The sequence below is a fragment of the Homo sapiens genome, chromosome 6 (assembly GCF_000001405.40).
Source record: "Homo sapiens chromosome 6, GRCh38.p14 Primary Assembly".
Taxonomy (NCBI): Eukaryota; Metazoa; Chordata; class Mammalia; order Primates; family Hominidae; genus Homo; species Homo sapiens.
The window spans coordinates 73,368,555-73,391,443 of record NC_000006.12 but is presented as its reverse complement, the minus strand read 5'-3'; the positions used below and the strand labels follow the sequence as shown (position 1 = coordinate 73,391,443).

Below are 22,889 nucleotides of genomic sequence, written 5' to 3'. Positions count from 1 at the left end.
ACTCAGTTATTGTTAGAGAGAGAAGGCTAATCCTGAACTGCCTGATAATATACTGCCTCATCCCCCGGGACCCAAAAGAGCTAGCAGAATCCAAAAACTTCAATTTCTCTAAAAAGATGATGTCCACCAATATGTTATAAGAAAGCTCTTTGTTATAACAAAGATAAGACACACAGGGCCAAAGCACCCAAGACTCAGTGTGTTGTTACTCCTCATGTCCCGCAACACAAACACCTGGCTTATTGCTCTGAAGAAACAACCTACTAAAAAAAATAAGGAAGAGGCCACAGAATATACTAAACTTTTGGACAAGAGAATAAAGGAAGCCAAAGAAAAACACCAGGAACAAATTGCCAAGAGACACAGACTGTCCTCTCTGAGAGCTTCTGAGTCCAGCCAAAAATAAGCCCGGCGGATTTAACATTTTGATACTGTGTTCTCACGTGGTGAGGAAAGATATCTAAGATGGTAATTCCAGGTAACACGAATATTTTTAGTTCTGTATTTTATTTATTTATTTATTTTTATTATTATTATTATACTTTAAGGCACAGTGGCTCACGCCTGTAATCCCAGCACTTTGGGAGGCCAAGGCAGGCAGATTACCTGAGGTCAGGAGTTCGAGACCAGCCTGGCCAACATGGCGATACCCCCCTCTCTACTAAAAATACAAAAAAAAGAAAAAAAAAGAAAAAAAAAATTAGCTGGGCATGGTGGTGCATGCTTATAGCTCCAGCTACGTGAGAGGCTGAGGCAGGAGAATTGCCTGAACCTGGGAGGCGGAGGTTGCAGTGACCCGAGATCGCACCATCACACTCCAGGCGACAAGAACGAAACTCCGTCTCAAAAAAAAAAAAAAAAAGTTTTTGGGTAACAAATAAGATCAAACCTCATAAAAATAAAACAAAAAAAGCAAAATAATAAAGTAGAATAACTATTTACCTAGTATTAGGTATTACAGGTAATCCAGAGATGATTTAAAGTATAAGGGAAGCTCTGCATAGGTTATATGCAAATACTATGCCATTTTACGTAAAGAATTTGAGCAACCCTGGTATTAAGTATCTTTGGAGGGCCTGGGACCAATACCCCCAAAATCCCAAGAGACGACAATACTTGCTGTGAACCTAAAATTGTTCTAAAAGATAAAGTCTAAAAAGGGAATTTTGTGTCTGTCAAGCTTTTCATTTTTGTTTTGTTTTTAATTGGATCAGCTATGTCCTTGAGTTTGGGCAGTGGATTAGTAAATAACTTTTTTTTCTTATTTCTTTTTTTCTTTCCCTGTGGGCCAGGCTGGAGTGCAGTGGCGGGATCTGGGCTCAGCACAACCTCTGCCTCCCGGATTCAAGTGATTCTCCTCCCTCAGCTTCCTGAGCTGCTGGGACCACAGGTGCGCCACACACCTGGCTAATTTTTGTAGTTTCAGTAGAGACCGGGTTTCACTATGCCAACCAGGCTGGTCTCTAACTCCTGGCCTCAAGTGATCTGCGCCCGGCGGATTTAACATTTTGATACTGTGTTCTCACGTGGTGAGGAAAGATATCTAAAACGGTAATTCCAGGTAACACGAATATTTTTAGTTCTGTATTTTATTTATTATTATACTTTAAGTTTTATGGTACATGTGCACAACGTGCAGGTTTGTTACATATGTATACATGTGCCATGTTGGTGTGCTGCACCCATTAACTCGTCATTTAACATTAGGTATATCTCCTAATGCTATCCCTTCCCCCCTCCCCCCACCCCACAACAGTCCCCGGTGTGTGATGTTCCCCTTCCTGTGTCCATGTGTTCTCATTGTTCAATTCCCACCTATGAGTTCTGTTATTTTAAATTTTTTCACAACATAGAGCAAAATGAGTTGCTTTTTTAGACCTGTGACAGCCTAAGCCTAAGCCTTTTGCGATAAAAAGCGGTGGAATCTATTATCCTAAATCCCAACTTGGTTAGAAAACCATTCACTAAGCAAGTAGAAATTGGATATGCCTGCGGGCCTTTCAAGTTCGTTCTACCACCTACTTTTCCCCACCAAAAAAAAAGATAAAAAGGTGGAGTTCACGCCCAATTTTGACCTGAAGGCAGAAAATTTCCACAAGCTTGCATTTTTGCCTCGGGTGTGACCTGAGGGAGTTGACCGCCAGTTCCGGAGTAGGGCGGGGACTTCTGCTCCTGGGGTAGAAGCTGAATCAGTCGCCCCAGGTCCTCGGTGCCATTTCCCTCCGGCAAGCCTCAACCTCAGGAGGGAAGCCCTGGCCTTTCTCCTCCGCCTGCCAGGCGGTTTCTTCTGTCCGAAGCCTCTGGCTTCCTCAAAGCTCCCGGGTCTGCATTGGTGCTAAGTGGCCTGCCGTCTCGACGTAGCTCCCCTGGATAGCGACGCGCCAGAGCACCGCCCCAGGTTCCAGCTCGCGTCGCGGCTTCGCATTTGCACCGCTGCGGGATCCCTGAGCGAGTACCCCCAATGTGGGTTTGGCGGAGCTAGGAGAAGGAACGGTCCCTCTACCCTCCGAGAACTTATTCCTCCGACTCCGCCAGGCAAGGAGCCACACTCTCCCACAAGGAGGCAGCAAACACCGCACCCTTGGCTCTCGGAGCAGCAGGCGCTGATTTTGGAAAATCCGCTCCTTAAGTTTTCACTTACCACCTGGACTAGAGAAGGTGGCAATATCTTATACTGGGCACTTACAACCTGCCAGACTCATTTAATTCTTAGAAAACTCCTGTGAGATGGATGTGGGTATCCCCATTTCACGATGAAGAAACCGAAGTCAGAGGAGCCCAGTACTTGGGAACCCAAGTGGAGGTGATGCCAAAGCTGAGCATTTTCTGTTCTGCCACTTTGCCTCTCAGGAACCCATGGGTGCAGTTCCCAGGAGGAAGGGGATTCCAGCCTCCAGCTGCCATCCCTTTTTCAAGAAAAAAGCTACGGTTACTGGCATTAGGATAAATAACTTTGGCTTTAAGATGATCTTAGAATTAACGTGTTCACTGCATACATTTGGAAAAATAAAAATAAAAGTATTACCCAGAGATAAATTTGGTCCTTCTGAGTTTTCTTCTAGGCAAACTTTTGAGATTTTACTATTCAATTTTGCACTCTGACTTTTCCCCTTAAATTTTATAATAAACATCCATGTTGTTAGACATATAATTTTTTGTTATACATTCTTCGCTGTTTATAATTTGTATTTTCATTTCACTTTGGGGGAGGGGGAGGCATAAGGATTTTTTTTCTCACGAAAAGAAATTTTAATTCCATTGTTGTCAGGCCCAGTGCGGTGTCTCACGCCTGTAATCCCAGCACTTTGGGAGGCCGAGGCGGACAGATCACCTGAGATCAGGAGTTTGGCACCAGCCTGGCCAACATGGCGAAATCTGTCTCTACTGAAAATACAAAAATTAGCTTGGTGTGGTGCCGCATGCCTGTCGTCCCAGGTAATCGGATGGCTGAGGCACTGAGGCATGAGAATCGCTGGAACACAGGAGGCGGAAGTTGCAGGTCAGCCCAGATTGCGCTACTGCACTCCAGCATGGGCAACAGAGCAAGACCCTGTCTCAGAATAAGTAAAATAAAATTCTAATGTTGTCAGAACTATCATCGTTCCCTTATGGTGGCAGCCTTTGGAGCCATGATTTAGAAGGGTCTGTTTTTACCCTCAAATTATATAAACATTAATACAAAAAATTAGCCAGGCTTGGTGGCACGTACCTGTAGTCCCAGCTACTCGGGAGGCTGAGGCAGGAGAATCATTTGAACCCAGGAGGTGGAGGTTGCAGTGAGCCAACACCACGCCACTACACTCCAGCCTGGGAGACAGAGTGAGACTCCGTCTCAATCAATCAATCAATAGAATAAATAATTATATAAACATGAATACTCACATTAATCCAGCACTGATTTTATTTTTATATTATTTTATTTTGTTTTTGAGATGGAGTTTTGCTCTTGTCACTCAGGCTGGAGTGCAGTGGTGCTATCTCGGCTCACTGCAACCTCCGCCTCCCATGTTCAAGCGATTCTCCTGCCTTGGCTTCCCAAGTAGCCGGGATTAAAGGCACCTGCCACCACACCCGGCTAATTTTTTTCTTGTATTTTTGGTAGAGACTGGGTTTCACCATGTTGGCCACACTGGTCTCAAACTCCTGACCTCAAGTTATCCACCCACCTCGGCCTCCCAAAGTGCTGGGATTACAGGTGTGAGCCACCATGCCTGGTGGTTATTTTTGCTTTCTTAATACTTCCAAAGTTTTGAATTTTGATGGACTCTGACTTACTAATTTTTAAAACCACTTTTGCATTTTACATTGTTTAAAATATACATATATGTATATATATACATATATAAACAAAGATATTTTAAGCCGTGAGCATGAAGGGTTTACTTTTCTGTTTTCTGCTAAGAGTTTTGGTTTTAGCCCTTTCATTGAGCTCTGCTGTTCTTTTTTTTTTTTTTTTTTTTTTTTTTCTGAGATGGAATTTTGCCCTTAACTCTTGTGGCTCAGGCTGGACTGCAATGGCATGATCTCGGCTCACTGCAACCTCCGCCTCCCGGGTTCAAGTGATTCTCCTGCCTCAGCATCCCGAGTAGCTGGGATTACAGGCGCCTGCCACCATGCCTGGCTAATTTTTTTGTATTTTTAATAGAGACAGGGTTTCACCACGTTGGCCATGCTGGTCCTGAACTCATGACCTCAGGTGATCCACCCGCCTTGGCCTCCAAAAGTGCTGGGATTACAGGCATGAGCCACCGCGCCCGGCTGCAGTTCTTTTTCAAGTTAATTTTTGTGTATGTCGTGAGGTAAGGGTCTAAATTCATCTTCTGAGTCTTCTAGTCCATGAATGAAATAACTCTCCATTTATTTACATCTTTAATTCTTTCATCAAGGTTTTGTAGTTTTCAAATTATACACTTACTAAACTTGTAAAAGTATTTAGACTTTGTGTATATTGATTTTGTATTCTGCAACCTTACTGAACTCATTCATTCTATTTGTTTGTTTATTTTTTGGTGGATTCCTTAGGATTTCCTACATAGAAAAGCATGTTGTTGGCCCGGTCTGGGGGCTCATGCCTGTAATCCCAGCACTTTGGGAGGCCAAGGCAGGCAGATCACCTGAGGTTGGGAGTTCGAGAACAGCCTGATCAACATGGAGAAACCCCGTCTCTACTAAAAATACAAAACTAGCTGGACATGGTGGCACATGCCTGTAATCCCCGCTACTCAGGCCGCTGGGGCAGGAGAATCGCTTGAACCCGGGAGGCAGAGGTTGCAGTGAGCCAACATCGCGCCATTGCACTCCAGCCTGGGCAACAAGAGCGAAACTCTGTCTCAGGAAAAAAAAAAAAAAAAAGAAAAGCATGTTGTTGGTATTCTTTAATATGCATGCCTTCTATTTCTTGCCTGATTGCACTGGCTAGAACCTCCAGTACAATGTTGAATAAAAGTGAAAGTAGGTATCTTTGCCCTCTTCCTGATCTTTCAGGGGAAGGAATTCAGTCTTTTTACCATTAAGTATCTTATATAATGTTAGCTGTGGGCTTTTTGAAAATAGCTTTTGGCCGGGCACAGTGGCTCACGCCCATAATCCCAGCACTTTGGGAGGCCAAGGTGGGTAGATCACCAGGTCAGTAGTTCAAGACCAGCCTGGCCAACATGGTGAAACCCGTCTCTACCAAAAATACAAAAAACTAGCCGGGCGTGGTGGCAGGCGCCTATAATCCCAGCTACTCAGGAGGCTGAGATAGGAGAATCGCTTGAACTCAGAACGTGGAGGTTGCAGTGAGCCAAGACCACGCCACTGCACTCCAGCCTAGTCAATAGAGTGAGACTCCGAAAAAAAAAAAAAAGAGAGCTTTTATTTAGGCTGGGGAAGAGACTTTGTATTCCTAGTAGTAGGTGTTGATTTTGTAAAATGCATTTGCTGCATCTCTTGAAATGTTCATGTAGTTGTTGTCCTTTATTCTATTAATATGGCATATTAATTGACTTTTGATTTAATCCAGCCTTGCATTCCTGGGATAAATCCCCTTAATCATGGTATATAATTTTTTTTTTAATAATGCTGAATTCCATTTGTCTTTTTTGTTGTTGTTGTTTGAGATGGAGTCTTGCTCTGTCGCCCAGGCTGGAGTGCAGTGGCGCAATCTTGGCTCACTGCAAGCTCCTCTCCCGGGTTCACGCCATTTTCCTGCCTCGGCCTCCCAAGTAGCTGGGACTACAGGCACCCGCCACCACACCCGGCTAATTTTTTTGTATTTTTAGTAGAGACGGGGTTTCACCATGTTAGCCAGGATGGTCTCAATCTCCTGACCTAGTGATCTGCCCACCTTGGCCTCCCAAAGTGCTGGGATTACAGGCGTGAGCCACCACGCCCAGCCTCCATTTGCCTTTTTTAAGACAGGTTTGAGGCTGGGTGTGGTGGCTACACCTGTAATCCCAGCACTTTGGGAGGCCAAGGCGAGTGGATCACCTGAGGTCAGGAGTTCAAGAGCAGACTGGGCAACATGATAAAACCCCGTCTCTACTAAAAATACAAAAATTACCCAGACGTGGTGGCACGTGCCTGTAATCCCAGCTACTCAGGAGGTTGAGACAGGAGAATCACTTGAACCCGGGAGGCACAGGTTGCAGTGAGCCGAGATTGTGCCACTGCACTTCAGCCTGGTTGACAGAGCAAGACTCCATCTCAAAAAAAAAAAAAAAGGTTTGTTTGTCTTGTTGCCTATGCTGGGAGGTTGAGGCAGGCTGATCACTTGAGCCCAGGACTTCAAGTGATGGAGTGCAGTGGCACAATCATGGCTCAATACCTGGAACTCCTGGGTTCAAGTGATCCTCCCACCTAGGGCTCCTAAATGGCTGAGATTACCAGCATGAGCCACCATGCCCAACCAAGTTTGCTCATTTTTTATTTAAGATTTTTGCATCTTTATTACTCAGGAATATTGGTCTGTAGTTGTTTCTTTTCTTGTGATGTCTGTGGTTATGGTATTAAGGTGATGCTGATATAATTAGCTGGGAAGTGTTCTTTCATCTTCTGTTTTTTGGAAGAGTTTGAAAGATTGACATTAGTTCTCCTTTAAATACTTGGTTGGATTCATCAGTAAAGCCATCTGGGCTTGAGCTTTTCTTTGTCGGAAATGTTGTCATTACTAATTCAATCTCTTATGACAGGTTTATTCAGATTTTCTATTTATTCTGAGTAGTTTATGTTTTTCTAGGAACTTATTCATTCCATCTAGGTTATCTAATTTATGTCATATAGTTGTTCTGTAGTATTACCTTATAATCCTTTTTATATCTGGTCCTCCATTCATTCATTTTTTATTTTTATTATATTTATTTATTTAGAGACAGGGTCTCACTCTGTTGCCTGGGCTGGAGGGCACTGTCATGATTTTGGCTCACTGCAGCCTTGACCTCCTTGGCTCAAGTGATCCTCCTGCCTCAGCCTCTGAAGTAGCTGGGATTACAGGCATGTGCCACCACACCTGGCTAATTGTTGTATTTTTTGTAGAGATGGGGTTTCATTATGTTGCTCAGGCTGGTCTTGAATTCCTGGGCTCAAGTGATCTGCCTGCCTCAGCCTCCCAAAGTGTGATTACAGGTGTGACCCACTGCACCAGGCTCTTACATTCATTTCTGATCTTAGTAATTTGAGTCTTTTTTCCTTGGTTATTCTATCTAAATACTTGTCAGTTTTATCTTTTTAAAGAACCCAGTTTTGATTTTTCTCTATTTTCTACATAATTTTTACTCTAATCTTTATTACTTCCTTCTTGCACTGATTGCATTGATTTTATTTTATTCTGAGATGGAGTCTTGCTCTGTTACCCAGGCTGGAGTGCAGTGGCGCAATCTCGGCTCACTGCAACCTCCGCCTCCCAGGTTCAAGTTATTCTCCTGCCTCAGCCTTCTGAGCAGCTGAGACTACAGGCATGTGCCACCACACCCAGCTAATTTTGTATTTTTAGTAGAGATGGGGTTTCACCATATTGACCAGGCTGGTCTCAAACTCCTGACCTCAAGTGATCCACCCACCTCGGCCTACCAAAGTGCTGGGATTACAAAGTGCTGGCCACTGTGCCCGGCCCCTGCATTGATTTTAGTTTGTTCTTCCTTCCTGGTCATTTTCCCTGTTGTTAGCCCACACTAAATAAGGCTATGTCTCCTGGCTCCTGGATGATTTTGCCAACTACTTGATCAAGAAACTAGAATCAGTTTCTACAATTCCCTTAGTGTTACCGGCCCTAAGAAATCTTTTAGGCGAACTGCTTGTATAGATGGTTTCTTCTACTTCAGATTTACAGCCAGGTGTGGTGGCTCACACATGTAATCCCAGCACTTCGGGAGGCCCAGGTGGGCAGATCCCTTGAGGCCAGGAGTTGAGACCAACCTGGCCAACAGGGGGAAACCCCATCTCTATAAAAAAAATACAAAAATTAGACGTGCATGGTGGCGCATGCCTGTAGTTCCAGTTACTTGGAAGGCTGAGCCTGGGAGGTGGAGGCTGCGGTGAGCTGAGATTGTGCCACTGCACCCAACCCTGGGTGACAGAGTCAGACTCTGTCTCAAAAAAAAAAAAAAAAAAAAAAGTTAAAAACCACTGAGCATATTGGCTCACCACACTTTGGGAGGCTGAGCCAGGAGGATTGCTTGAGGCCAGGAGTTCAAGCCTAGCCTGGGCAACATAGTGAGATCCCATCTCTATAAAAATAAAAGTAAAAATTAGCAGGGCATGGTGGTGCATGCCTGTAGTCCTAGCTACAATAAACAAACATAGTAGGCTGGGCGTGGTGACTCATGCCTATAATCCTCACACTTTGGAAGGCTGGGGCAGGAGGATCATTTGAGCCCAGGAGTTTGAAACCAGTCTGGACAACATGGTGAGACCCGCTCTCTACAAAAAATTTAAAAATTAGCCAGGTGTGGCCAGGCACAGTGGCTCATGCTTATAATCCCAGCACTTTGGGAGGCTGAGGCAGGTGGATCACGAGGTCAGGAGTTCGAGACCAGCCTGGCCAAGATAGTGAAACCCCATCTCTACTGAAAATACAAAAATTAGCTGGGCATGGTGGCACGTGCCTGTAATCCCCGCTACTCAGGAGGCTGAGGCAGGAGAATCACTTGAACCCAGGAGGCGGAGGTTGTGGTGAGCTGAGATCACGCCACTACACTCCAGCCTGGGCAACACAGCGAGACTCCATCTCAAAAAAAAAAAAAAAAAAAAATTAGCCAGGTGTGGTAGTGCATGCCTGTGGTCGCAGGTACTAGGGAGGCTGAGGCGGGGGGATCACTTGAGCCTGGGAGGTTAAGGCTGCAGTGAGCCATGATCACACCACTGCACTGCAGCCTGAGTGACAGAGCAAATCCCTATCTCAAAAATAAAACAAACCAAAAAGAAAAACAAAAACAAAAACCCAAAGTTACAATCCTTTGTTTTTTGTTTGTTTTGTTTTGTTTTTGAGACAGAGTCTCACTGTATCACCCAGGCTGGAATACAGTGGCACAGTCTCAGTTCACTGCAACCTCTGCCTCCCGGGTTCAAGTGATTCTCCAGCCTCAGCCTCCCAAGTAGCTGGGTTTACAGGCACGGTGCCACCACTCCCGGCTAATTTTTGCCTTTTTAGTAGACATGGGTTTCGCCATGTCGGCCAGGCTGGTCTCGAACTCCTGACTTCAAGTGATCCACCCACCTCAGCCTTCCAAAGTGCTAGGATTACAGGTGTGAGCCACCGCGCCCAGCCTGGTTTTTTATATTAATTGTCCCCCCACGCCGGCCCACCTCTTTCCCTGGACATTCAGGCTACCAAGAAGAGTGTACTGGCCATCCTGAATTCCTCAGCCCATGCTTACCTTTAGTCCTATGCAAAGTAGTGTCTGTTCCTGCTTTACTGGAACACTGCAGTTTTTGGCAAAGTGAGGACTAACTTTCTCAACCTTTCCTTCCCCACCTAAAACACCTTTTCTTCAACTAGCTTTCAATTTTGAGATTTGCCAACATATGGTCTTGGCCTTCAGCTCTTCCTCCGGGCTACTCTAGGTATCCAGAGTGAAGCTCTCTGGTGCCTGAAGGCATACCTCAAAGACTCAGCCTGAAATCCAAGTAGCCTGAATTCCAAATCTTGTGAGTGAACTTGGGCCTATCCACCTCCCTTCTCATTCACTGCTATTTTTATGTTCTGGAACTTACTCCATCTTCTTCTTTTTCTTCTTCTTTTTTTTTTTTTTTTTTTTTTTAACACTTTTTTGTTTTGTTTCATCTTTTTGACTTTTTCTTCTTTTTGAAATGGAGTTTCACTCTTGTTGTCCAGGCTGGAGTGCAATGGTGCAATCTTGGTCCACTGCAACCTCCACCTCCTGGGTTCAAGCAATTCTCCTGCCTCAGCCTCCAAAGGAGCTGGGATTACAGGTGCCCGCCACCACGCCTAGCTAAATTTTTTTATTATTATTATTTTTAGTAGAGATAGGGTTTAGTCACGTTGGCCAGGCTGGTCTCGAACTCCTAACCCCAAGTGATTCACCCGCCTAGACCTCCCAAAGTGCTGGGATTACAAGCGTGAGCCACTGTGCCTGGCCTTGATTGTATTAATCAACATCCAAATGTGACTCAACTTACTTCATCTTCTCTAGCCTCTCTACCATATAGTTTCTAATGTGTAGATAAATCACAATCTGTTGAGACTAATCATATTTGGTGTCTAGATCTCTAAAGTCCTCTTTAAAAACAAAAAACAACTCAAAGTTTAATCTGCTTACTAAAAATTATATAAATCATTAAGTGTGACGCTCAAGAAAATTTCAAAGTAATAGTGATGTAACAACCACCCACATCAAACTTGCTTACTTTCTGAACTTTATATAAATGGAATCCTATAGTGTCTTTTAGCTCACTCATGTTGGGAGTAGTTTATTAATTTTCAATGGTATATAACATTTCATTGTATGGATCTGCCGCAATTTATCCATTCTATTATAGATAGACATTTGGTCATTTCTGTTTATTTCCATGTTGAAAAACACTACTATGAACACTCATTAGCATTGTTATTGGTGCATTTCAATAACTGCTCAGGAGGCTGAGATGAGAGAATCGCTTAAGCCCAGGAGACAGAGGTTGCAGTGAGTGGAGATTGCACCACCACACTCCAGCCTGGGCAACAGAGCGAGACCCTGTCTCAAAAAAAAAAAAAAAAAAAGAATTTTGGAAAACTTGTATCACCACTGTCTTGACACCTTCCCAATTATTACATTTTTCTGATGAGATTGGTGGTGGTACTAATCAATGTGATTTTTTATTATACTGTATAATGAAATGAGTCAGTATTTGGAAAATTAAATATTTCAATAAACCAATATTTTCCTAACGACTAATGAGTGATGTTACAAAATCATGCACGAATAAAAAAGCCATTCAAAGTGTAAGAAGCTACCGTTTGCTGAGTGTTGGTATAGTAGAAAGAATAGTGTCCACAATTATCTAAATATCTGTGTGAGGCTGGATTTTCTTCAGTCAAAACAACATATTGCAACAGATTTAATTTGGAATAGGATATGAGGCTGGGCATGGTGGCTGATGCCTGTAATCCCAGCACTTTCAGAGTTGGAAGTGGGCAGACTGCTTGAGCTCAGAGCTCTGGAGTTTAAGACCAGGTTGGGCAACATAGCAAAACCCTGTCTCAATTTTTAAAAACCATTAAAAAACAAAAAAAGATATGAGAAACCAGCTGTTGTCTATTAGGCCAGACATTAAACAGATTTACAAACATGTAAAATAAGGCCACTTTTTTTTTTTTTTTTTTTTTTTGAGATAGAGTCTCACTCTGTTGCCCAGAGTGGAGTGCAGTGGCACAATCTTGACTCACTGCAACCTCCACCTCCTGGGTTCAAGCGATTCTCCTGCCTCAGCCTCCTAACTGGGATTACAGGTGCACACTACCATGCCCGGCTAATTTTGTATTTTTAGTAGAGACTAGGTTTCACCATGTTGGCCAGGTTGGTCTCAAACTTCTAACCTCAAGTGATCCACCCGCCTTGGCCTCCAAAGTGCTGGGATTACAGGCGTGAGCCACCATGCCTGGCCAGGCCACTGAATTTGTTTTGAGAAACAAATTATTTTTCAGGCCAGGCATGGTGGCTCACACCTATAATCCTAGCACTTTGGGAGGCTGAGGCAGGAGGATTGCTTGAGCCCAGGAGTTTGAGACCAGCCTGGACAACATGGTGAAACCCTGTCTCTACAAAAGCATAAAAATTAGCTGGACGTGGTGGCGCACGCCTGTAATCCCAGCTACTCAGGAGGCTGAGGCAGGATAATTGCTTGAACCCTGGAGGTAGAGGTTGCAGTGAGCCGAGATCATGCCACTGCACTCCAGCCTGGGTGACAGAGACCCTGTCTCAAAAAATAATAATCATAATCATAATCATTTTTCATTAAAAGGTTATCCATGTTAACGTGAGTTATAGTCATTGAATTAGGTTTCTCAAAGTTTGAATTTCTAATATAGTAAATATCAGTATCTATACCTTACAAAACAAAAGCTCTTTAGGGTAATCAATAATTTTTTTTTTTTTTCTGGAGACAGTATCTGGCTCTGTTGCCCAGGCTGGCTGGAGTGCAGTGGTGAAATCTCGGCCCACTTTAAACTCCACCTCCTGGGCTCAAGCAATTCTCCTACCTCAGCCTCCCAAGTAGCTGGGACCACAGGCATATGTCACCACGCTCGGCTAATTTTTGGATTTTTTAGTAGAGATGGGGTTTCATCATGTTGGCCAGGCTGGTCTCAAACTCCTGACCTCAAGGGATCCACTTGCCTTGGCCACCCAAAGTGCTGGGATTACAGGCCTGAGCCACTGCGCCCTGCTGGTACTCAACATATATATATAGATTTTCTTTCTGAGTTGGAGTTTCATTCTGTCACCTTGGCTGGAGTACAGTGGTGTGATCAGGCATGAGCCACCATGCCTGGCCTCAATGATTTTTAAGAGCAGGGGGACCCAAACATTTGAGAACTGCTGGCTCAGATGATCTTAGAGTTTGTAGCTCGGCCCAGTGGCTCAGGCCTATAATCCCAGCATTTTGGGAGGCTGAGGTGGGTGGATTGCTCGAGCTCAGGAGTTCAAGACCAGCCTGGCCAACATGAAGAAACCCCATCTTTACAACAAAATACAAAAACATTAGCTGGGCATGGTGCACACACCTGTCATCCCAGCTACTCTAGAGGCTGAGGTGGGAGGATCGCTTGAGCCCTGGAAGTGGAGGTTGTGGTGAGCCAAGATCATGCCACTGCACTCCAATCTGGGTGTCAGAGTGAGATACTATCTCAAAAAAAAGAAAAAAAAATAGAAGAAGAAGAAGAATTTGTAACAATAATATATGCAGGCTGGAGCATTTGGCATAAATTAAATAGGGTTACTTGGTGAAAACTCAGGTTTTTAACTTGAAAGCTGCCTGGTACAGCTATAGGTTGTAGGTGCGGTGGTGGCTCACACCCATAATCCTAGCACTTCAGGAAGGCCAAGGTAGAAGGCTCGCTTGCGGCCAAGAGTTCAAGACCAACCTTGGCAACATAGCAAGAACTTGTTTCTACAAAACATAATTTTAAAAAATATTAGCTAGGTGTGGTTGCACTCACCTGTAGTTCCAGCTCCTCAGGAGACTGAGGCAGGAGAATTGCTTGAGTCCAGACGGTCGAGGCTACAGTGAGCTGTGATTATGCCACTGCACTCCCGTCTAGGTGACAGAGTAAGACTCTGTCAATGAATGAATGAATCAATACAAGTAAATATAAATAAATACATAAAAATATTGCTGGCTTTTTACAGTATGTTGTTCAAAACCAGACCCAACAAACTCACTTACATGAGTTAATTTTGAGGCCACAAATACCTATCACATCTTGGGTGATATCAGAGAAACATTTGAGTAGAGAGGAAGTTGCATAGCACAGTTCACTCATAAAGTAGAAATGGTATATTCACGAGAACTTGAGAAAGTTCGAGGTGTGGTGACTTGCATGCATGAGCAGGTTGTTTATCTACTCCTGAGGCAGATAATAAAGCCGTCCCAGAAACTACTCACCCCTATTGCTTTGTGAGCAGAGCCCTATAGTTCTCTCTCAGCTGAAGCAAAACATGCTGCCTACATTTAAAAGGGGTCTTGAGGTTTTGGCTCCAGTTTGTGTCTCATCTTTACAGTTTTCACAGGATTATATTTTCAGCAAATAGAACAGCTCTAGAAACTTCCTTGGATGTGCCTTTAAAGTTTACACCAAGGCTGGCTTAAGATTGTAGTCAGTTTCTCTCTCCCATGGTAATAAGACCACATATGTCTAGCTAATTGTGTTAACTGGCAATGGCACAATGAAAGAAAATGGAAGTCTAATGGTAAAACACAATTATATAAGGATGTAGCCAAAGAACCATAGGGCATCTCACCAACAATAAATTTTTTTACAATTTTAGGGAAGAGAGGAAGAGAGAAATAAAATCATGGGCTGGGTGCAGTGGCTCACGCCTGTAATCTCAGCACTTTGGGAGGCCAAAGCGGGTGGATCACCTGAGGTCAGGAGTTCGAGACCAGCCTGGCCAAAATGGTGAAACCTCTTCTCTACTAAAAATACAAAAATTAGCCAGGCATGGTGGCAGGCACCAGTAATCCCAGCTACTTGGGAGGCTGAGGCAGGAGAATCGCTTGAACCTGGGAGGTGGAGGTTGCGGTGAGCCGAGATCGCACCAGTGCACTCCAGCCTGGGTGACAGAGTGAGACTCCATCTCAAACAAACAAACAAACAAAAACCACAAAAATCAGCCAGGCTTGGTGGTGGGCGCCTGTAATCCCAGCTACTCTGGAGGCTGAGGCAGGAGAATTGCTTGAACTCGGGAGGTGGAGGTTGCAGTAAGCTGAGATCTTGCCATTGCACTCCAGCCTGAGCAACAGACTCCGTCTCAAATAAATAAATAAATAAATAAAATCATGTTTCGTTGGGCTGTATGTATAAGGATCAGCATCAGATCTTGACAGTGAAGTGAACCCAGGGTCCTTAATTGAGATAGATGTGGAATGTTGTATTCAAAAAAAAAAAAAAAAAAAAAAAAAAAACAACCCCTTGTCCAAAACAGCTGCGACTGAGTTGTCAATTAAGGCTGTTTCTCTGTATCAAAGTGACTTAGAAAAACAAACGAAAAAAGAAAAACAAAATTAAAAAATAAATAAAGTGACTTAGATCCTCCAGGCAAGAATGGATGTTTCATTGTTACTGATAAATAAATTTAAATAGTACATTTTCTGATAGTCTGTAATTTTAGAGAATAATGTTTCTCACTGAGTAAGAACATAATAGTCATTCAAAAATGGGAGATCGGCTGGGTGCGGTGGCTCACACCTGTAATCACAACACTTTTGGAGGCTGAGGTGGGTGGATTACTTGAGGTCAAGAGTTCGAGACCGGCCTGGCCAACATGGTAAAACCCCGTCTTTACAAAAATTCACCTGGCCGTGGTGGCGGGTGCCTGTAATCCCAGCTACTCGGGAGGCTGAGGCAGGAGAATCACTTGAACCTGGGAGGCAGAGGTTGCAGTGAACAGAGATCGTGCCACTGCACTCCAGCCTATGCAACAGAGTGAGACTCCATCTCAAAAAAAAAAAAAAAAAAGGGAGATCATTATGACAATTTACAGCTGCAGCATGTCTTTGGGAGAAATTTAGTTTTGCAGCTGGTTTTATCTGTGTCTGTCTCAACCTGCTATAAATGATGGCAGATTTCTCTTTTCTCTCAGGATATAGTTATATAAAACTTAATTTTATATAAATATATACTGTATATAATATATAAGCTATATATATTATATATAAGCATATATATGTTTTATATATAAGGAAAAGAGAGTCCAGGCTGGAGTGCAATGGTGCCATCATAGCTCATTGCAGCCTCTGACTCCTTGACTAAAGGGATCCTCCTGCCTGCAGCTCCCAGAGTAGTTGGGACTACAAGGCATGAGACACCACACCGGGTTAATTTTTAATTTTTTTGTAGAAACAGGGCCTCCTTATGCTGCCCAGGCTGGTCTCCAACTCCTGGCCTCAGGCAGTCCTCCTATCTCCCACAGTGCTGGGATTACAGGCCTGAGCCATCCCTCTAGGCTCACTAATCTAATTTTTACTTTCTGTTCTCTCAGCTGGGAAAAGGTTAGTTCTCTTAGTAAAGAGGTGCCTTGGAGGGGATTCTAGAAATGGTTAGAAAGCTCAGCTTCACCTTAAATACAACCAAAGCTACTCAAGTATGTCAGCAAAGAAAGTCTGTTTTTTAAAAGAAGAGTTGGCTGGGTGTGGTGGCTCATGCCTGTAATCCCAGCACTTTGGGAGGCTGAAGTGGGTGGATCACCTGAGGTCAGGAGTTTGAGACCAGCCTGGCCAACATGGCGAAACCCCGTCTCTACTAAAAGTACAAAAATTAGCCGGGAATGGATGGCAGGAGCCTGTAATCCCAGCTGCTCAGGAGGCTGTGGCAGGAGAATAGCTTGAACCTGGGAGGTGGAGGTTGCAGTGGGCCAAGATCCCGCCACTGCACTCCAGCCTGGGCGACAAGAGCGAGACTCTGTCTCAAAAATAAATAAATAAATAAGTAAATAAATAGTTAAGTATGAGATCAGTCTCCCTTCCCCCATCAGTAAATCAAAACAACGATTAGGAGACATATTTTAATAGTTCCAGTAAAAACTCCAGGCTAGGCTGGGCACGGCTCATGTCGTAATCCCAGCACTTTGGGAGACCAAGGCAGGAGGGTTGCTGGAGCCTAGGAGTTCCAGACCAGCTTGGACAATATGGTGAAACCACATCTCAAAAAACAAAAACAAAAAACTCCAGACTATGATCACACAGGCAAATATACAGAGAAGGTAAGGTGAAAGGAGAAGTATGTGTTTGACTACAATTTCAGGGCTGGGGGCAGGCCTGGAATCTAAGCCTTCTTTACCATCTCTGCAACCATCATCATTTGTTGCTGGTAGGATTGGGATTGGCTTCAAGTTTTGGTCCTGTAGATCTGATTGGCTCTGTACCACAGAAGTGGAAAGCTGGGCAAACACATGGGAGTGGGTCCTGGAAAGGGCCTAGTCATACTGGGGCCTCTGGGGTTCCACATCACTGGATGAAGGCAGCCAGGCATTACGACTTTCATAGACTCCAGGTACTTTTAATGGAGCCCCTTTCCTCCATTAAAAAAATACATAAAATTGTACGTTATCTTTATTTTATTTTTTTAGAGATGGGGTCTCTGTCACCCAGGCTAGAGTGCAGTGGTGCAATCATAGCTCACTGCAGCCTCGACCTTGTGCACTCAGGCTATCCTTCCTCAGCTTCCCGAGTAGCTGGGACTACAGGCGCATGTCACCACAACCAGCTAATTATTTTATTTTTTGTAGAGACAGGTCCTCTCTATGTTGCCCAGGGTGGTCTCAAACTCCTAAGCTCAAGTGATCCTCCCGCCTCAGCCTCCCAGTGATGGGATTACAGGCATGTATATATATTTTAAAAATATATTTAAAAAATATATTTTTGGCAAAGCGCAGTGGCTCAAGGCTATAATCTCAGCACTTTGGGAGGCCGAGGTGGGTAGATCACCTGAGGTCAGGAGTTCGAGACCAGCCTGGACAACATGGTGAAACTCCACCTCTAGTAAAAATACAAAATTAGCTGGGTGTGGTGGTGCATGCCTGTAATCCCAGCTACTTGGGAGGCCTAGGCAGGAGAATCACTTGAACCCAGGAGGCGGAGGTTGCAGTGAGCCAAGATTCGCCATTGCACTCCAGCCTGAGCAAAAGAGCAAAACTCCGTCTCTAAATAAATAAATAAATAAAAAATAATTGCATACTTAAAATCTTCTGGCCCTGGCCAGTTGCAGTGGCTCATGCCTGTAGTCCAACATTTTGGGAGGCCAAGGCAGGAGGACTGCTTGAGCCCAGGAGTTCGAGACCAGCCTGGGCAACATAGGGAGACCTCTGTCTCTACAGTGGGTGTGATGGCATGCACCTGCCTCAGCTACCCAGTGAGCTGAGATCGTGCCACTGCACTCTAGCCTGGGTGACAGAGTGAGACCCTGTCTCAAAAAAGAAAACAAAAGAAGAGAAGGAGCCCTCTTCCTTTCTCCGCCATCGTGGTGTGTTCTTGACTCCGCTGCTCGCCATGTCTTCTCACAAGACTTTCAGGATTAAGCGATTCCTGGCCAAGAAACAAAAGCAAAATCGTCCCATTCCCCAGTGGATTCGGATGAAAACTGGAAATAAAATCAGGTACAACTCCAAAAGGAGACATTGGAGAAGAACCAAGCTGGGTCTATAAGGAATTGCACATGAGATGGCACACATATTTATGCTGTCTGAAGGTCACGATCATGTTACCATATCAAGCTGAAAATGTCACCACTATCTGGAGATTTCGACGTGTTTTCCTCTCTGAATCTGTTATGAACACGTTGGTTGGCTGGATTCAGTAATAAATATGTGAGGCCTTTCGTTTTTAAAAAAAAAAAAAAAAAAAAGGAAAGAAAAAGAGAAGGTGAGAAAGAATCTTCCGGCCCTTAAGAGCTCTGTGAAACGTCAGTTTGCTCTGGCCGCTTTCCCATTTTGATCTCGGGCTGGCGTCAGGCCCACTGCAGGATCCCTGGCACCCCAAGAAGCTAACCCAGATGGCGGGAAAAGTGTTCTATTAACCCAGCCAAGTTGGCTCAGTGCATCTCTCCACCTCAGTCTCTGGTGTTGGCTTCCATGCACTCGGGAAAACTGCCCACTTGTCCCCAGGCTTCCAAGGAGGCCCACGTGACTGACTGAGCTCCCAAAAGGTTTTCTTGCACAATAGCCCTCCTGTTTTGGCAGGCTCAGGTGCAAAGGCCTATCGGTCTCCCCAAAGCTGAGAGATGCGAAACCAACACTTGCGAATCAGATTCTGGCCTCTCACTGAGCAGGGAGGTTCTTTCCTCAGGGGAGAGCAGTAATCCCACAGGATCATTTCTTCCTTGAGGAAGAAATAACTGAACTAGCCACTGTTGGGCTACACCTGAGACTGAGTTGTATCTGAGACTAACTGCTTCACGGTGTCCAGCATGCTGGGGATTTATGTGGGGTTTATGGCAGAAGATCCCCACAAGATAATGGGGTGCCATCTTTTCCACACCAGGAAGTGGAATTTGAGAGAAGTTAACTTATTCCTGTGTGGCTCAGATCACCACAGTCCCCCTAAAGAAGCTGTTAAAATTCTATACATGCTGGGTAAAATATTCTTTGTCTACAGTAATGTAAGTGCGTCTCATGATTAGATTAAGGCTTTAATTTTTTTAGGTTTATTTTTAGGGTCTCGCTCTGTCACCCAAGCAGGAGTGCAGTGGTGTGATCATGGCTCACTGCACCCTCAAACCCCTTGGCTTAAGCGATCTGCTAGCCTCCACCTCCTAAAGGGCTGGGATTACAGGCACGAGCCACAATATCTGGCCTTGATTAGGTTAAGGGGTTTTTGTTTGTTTTTTGAGATGGAGTCTCACTCTGTAGCCCAGGCTGGAGTGTAGTGGTGCCATTTTGGCTCACTGCAACCTCTGCCTCTGGGGTTCAAGCAATTCTCCTGCCTCATCCTTTCGAGTAGCTGGGATTGCAGGTAACCACCACACACTGGCCAAATTTTTTTATTTTTATTTTTTTTTATTTTTGAGACAGAGTTTTGCTCTTGTTGTCCAGGCTGGAGTGCAATGGTGTGATCTTGGCTCACGACAACCTCCGCCTCCTGGGTTCAAGTGATTCTCCTGCCTCAGCCTCCTGAGTAGCTGGGATTATAGGCATGCACCACCATGTCCGGCTAATCTTTTGTATTTTTAGTACAGACTAGGTTTCTCCATGTTGGTCAGGCTGGTCTCGAACTCCCGACCTCAGGTGATCTGCCCGCCTCAGCCTCCCAAAGTGCTGGGATTACAGGCATGAGTGACCGTGTCTGGCCCACACCCATCTAATTTTTGTATTTTTAGTAGAGACCGGTTTTCTCCATGTTGGTCAGGCTGGTCTCAAACTCCTGACCTCAAGTGATCCTCCTGCCTTGGCCTCCCGAAGTGCTGGGATTATAGGCATGAGCCACCTTGCCTGGCCAGGTTAAGGTTTTAAATGTTTATTGCATCAGAGCCATAGCTAAATCTTGTTTTCCTGTAAGTATGCCCTGCACACCTGATAGTCAAGTTTTCTCAGAAACCATTGAGGGTGAGAGGGGGTGGGATCAGGGGCAGAAAACTGGAACCTCCACACAGTCCTAGATGATCATGTGGAGTCTGGAACATGCTTTTCACTATTTTGAGTTTTTTCTTCTATGCTGGCTGTGGTGGCTCACGCCTGTAATCCCAGCACTTTGGGAGGCCAAAGTGAGAGGACTGCTTGAGCCTAGGAGTTCAAAACCAGCCTGGCAACATAGTGGGACCCTGTCTCTACAAACAGACAAACAACAACAACAACAAAAAGAGCTGGAAAATAGCTGGGTGTGGTGGCAGGTGCCTGTGGTCTCAGCTACTCAGGAGGCTGAGATGGGAGGGTCGCTTAGGCCTGGGAGGTCGAGGCTTCAGTGAACCGAGATCGTGCCACTGCATTCCAGCCTAGGCAAGAGAGTGAGACCTATCTCAGAAAAATAGAAGTTTTAAAACAAACACATAGTTAATTGTAAGAACGAAATAGTATATTCAGCAGATACTATTCTGAAACAACCAAACAATATTTCTACAAATATAGTAGAAAATGTGTAAGGACATGCATGGGGATGATATATACACACTAGCTTCAGGATGATTTCCTCTGGAGAAGGAAAGGAAAGATGCTTGAGTAATATCTGTTTTAAAAACAGAGGAGTGAGGCAAATGTGGGGAAATGTCAACATCTGTTAAACTCGGGGAGGGTACATGGCCGTGTTATATTACTTTTTTGGATGTGTGAAACCTTTCATAATCCAAATTTTTAATTAAAATTACAAACATTGGGAAAAAATGTCCATCGATAATGGTTGTCTTAGGATACTGGAAATAAAGGAAAATTGTCTAACTTGCTACATGTTCTATAAGACCACCTCTGACGTGTTGTTTAAAACATGACACACTTGCTTGAATGATTTAAAAATGGTAACCATCCGGAGAGTCAGAAGATAACAACAGGGAGCAGAACAGAGAAAACTGACACATTGAACAAGCCTGCCCTGGGTCCGATATACCTATCTTTGGGAGGCAACGATGAAACCTTAACCTAGCCAGCAAAGGTGATTCCCAGTCTATTAATAGAGTCGTCAATTCAAACTCACACTGTTAATCAGCTATAAGGTGGGCAGAGGACTTTCAGGCTAAGCATACCTTACGAGCAGAGATGACGAAGGAGAGCATTGGAGACCCAACAGGAGGCCAAATGAATACTAGTTCAAGGTCAAAGAGGCAATCCCGGCGATTGAAGCAGCGCAGGAAGTGTCCAATGGTGCCGCTATGCCGGGGCGTCGCTTGCACCCGCTCACCCCGACGCGGTGCGAGGCGCCGCCGGAAGGGGCGGAGCGGGTCGAATATGGTAAAAGAGAGCCCGAGCTTCGCGCCTGGGTCTGGAAGAGGTCTTGCGAAAGCCGCCTCGAGCGCGCTCCGCGGCTGCTGGTCCCAGTATGGTCGATGATGCTGGTGCCGCTGAGTCCCAGCGGGGCAAACAGACTCCGGCCCACTCCCTGGAGCAGCTGCGTAGGTTACCACTTCCGCCGCCACAGATTCGCATCCGGCCCTGGTGGTTTCCGGTGCAGGAACTGAGAGACCCTTTGGTGTTCTACCTAGAGGCATGGCTGGCAGACGAGCTCTTTGGTGAGCGACCCCAGGTGTGCTAGTGGGCTGTCCACCTCCAGTCTGAGAGAGGCTTGGCAGAGCAGCTCTCTACAGTCTCTTTCCCAGATTCGCAAGCCAGGAGTGTTGCAGTGATGCCCACCTTCCAGTTCTTCCCTTCCCTGGCCAACATTCCCTTCAAATCCAGCTTCTAACCTGCCACCGTGCAGCCCCTCAGAGTTTTTCCTTACTTGTTTAGGCCCAGACCGAGCCATAATTCCAGAAATGGAGTGGACGAGCCAGGCCCTGCTGACAGTGGACATAGTGGACTCAGGGAACCTAGTCGAAATCACCGTTTTCGGGCGGCCCCGTGTACAGAATCGGGTGAAGAGCATGCTCCTGTGCCTGGCATGGTTTCACCGAGAACATCGTGCCCGAGGTGAGGGTCTTTGAGAACCTGCATGTGGAGGAAGCCACGAGTGACCATACTGGCCTTGCTCGGTTTCCTTCCATCCTCCCTTAACCTTCTCAAAATTTCTTGGTTTCCAGACCCCAGGGAGCTAGCTGTACGAAGTTTGTTGGGAGGGGATCCTGGGGTAGGACCTTGGGAAAGTCAGCAGAGATCTGATAGATTCAGACCCATCACTGCCCAAGTCAGCCTCACCTGGGTTACAGCACTATCGCAGATCTTTCTCTCCTCCCCAACTCCCAGTCACGGAGTAGTTCGAAACAGCAAACACTTGTCCCTGTCCATGGTTAGTATCAACTGCTTCTCTTCCAGCTGAGAAGATGAAACACCTTGAGAAGAACTTGAAGGCCCATGCATCAGACCCCCACTCTCCCCAGGATCCTGTTGCTTAAGACAACATAGTTACTGTTGGGAACATCTTAACTTTCTAACTTTTGCTGCTAAAGTTGAAGAAAAGCAAGTATAGCATTCTTAAATCCCCGTATTCCTTTTTCCTGTGTCTTGATGGATTGTGGTTTATTTTGTTGCAAGAGTGAGTTTGAACTATTCTAATAAAGAAATGGCTATTTTGCCAAAAGCATTAAGATCTTCACACACTTATAATAAAGCAAATTTATAAAA

General features: G+C 44.9%; 1 protein-coding gene, 1 long non-coding RNA gene and 2 pseudogenes across 5 annotated transcripts in view; 3 read left to right on the top strand and 1 right to left on the bottom strand.

Annotated features, from left to right (window-relative positions):
• RPS6P8 (ribosomal protein S6 pseudogene 8) overlaps positions 1-406 on the top strand; it is a 730-nt pseudogene extending 324 nt beyond the window's left edge.
• The window catches only part of OOEP (oocyte expressed protein), a 26,609-nt gene extending 3,720 nt beyond the window's left edge, over positions 1-22,889 (top strand). Inside the window, exons 1-3 of one of the 4 annotated variants that reach the window (NM_001080507.3) lie at positions 21,547-21,841; positions 22,059-22,238; positions 22,581-22,889. In NM_001080507.3, coding sequence (NP_001073976.1) covers positions 21,652-21,841; positions 22,059-22,238; positions 22,581-22,660 — 450 coding nt within the window. In that variant the 5' untranslated portion in view covers positions 21,547-21,651 and the 3' untranslated portion in view covers positions 22,661-22,889. Of the gene's footprint in view, positions 1-1,292; positions 3,037-21,546; positions 21,842-22,058; positions 22,239-22,580 lie in introns of those variants that run through there. The other 3 variants (XM_047418829.1, NM_001428256.1, NR_190285.1) reach the window with 3 other exon arrangements.
• On the bottom strand, positions 3,727-21,740 carry OOEP-AS1 (OOEP antisense RNA 1). The gene is made up of 2 exons (NR_174946.1): positions 21,359-21,740; positions 3,727-3,807 (listed from the first exon to the last, which is right to left on the bottom strand). It is a non-coding gene; the product is annotated as an OOEP antisense RNA 1 (long non-coding RNA).
• On the top strand, positions 18,131-18,517 carry RPL39P3 (ribosomal protein L39 pseudogene 3; annotated as a pseudogene).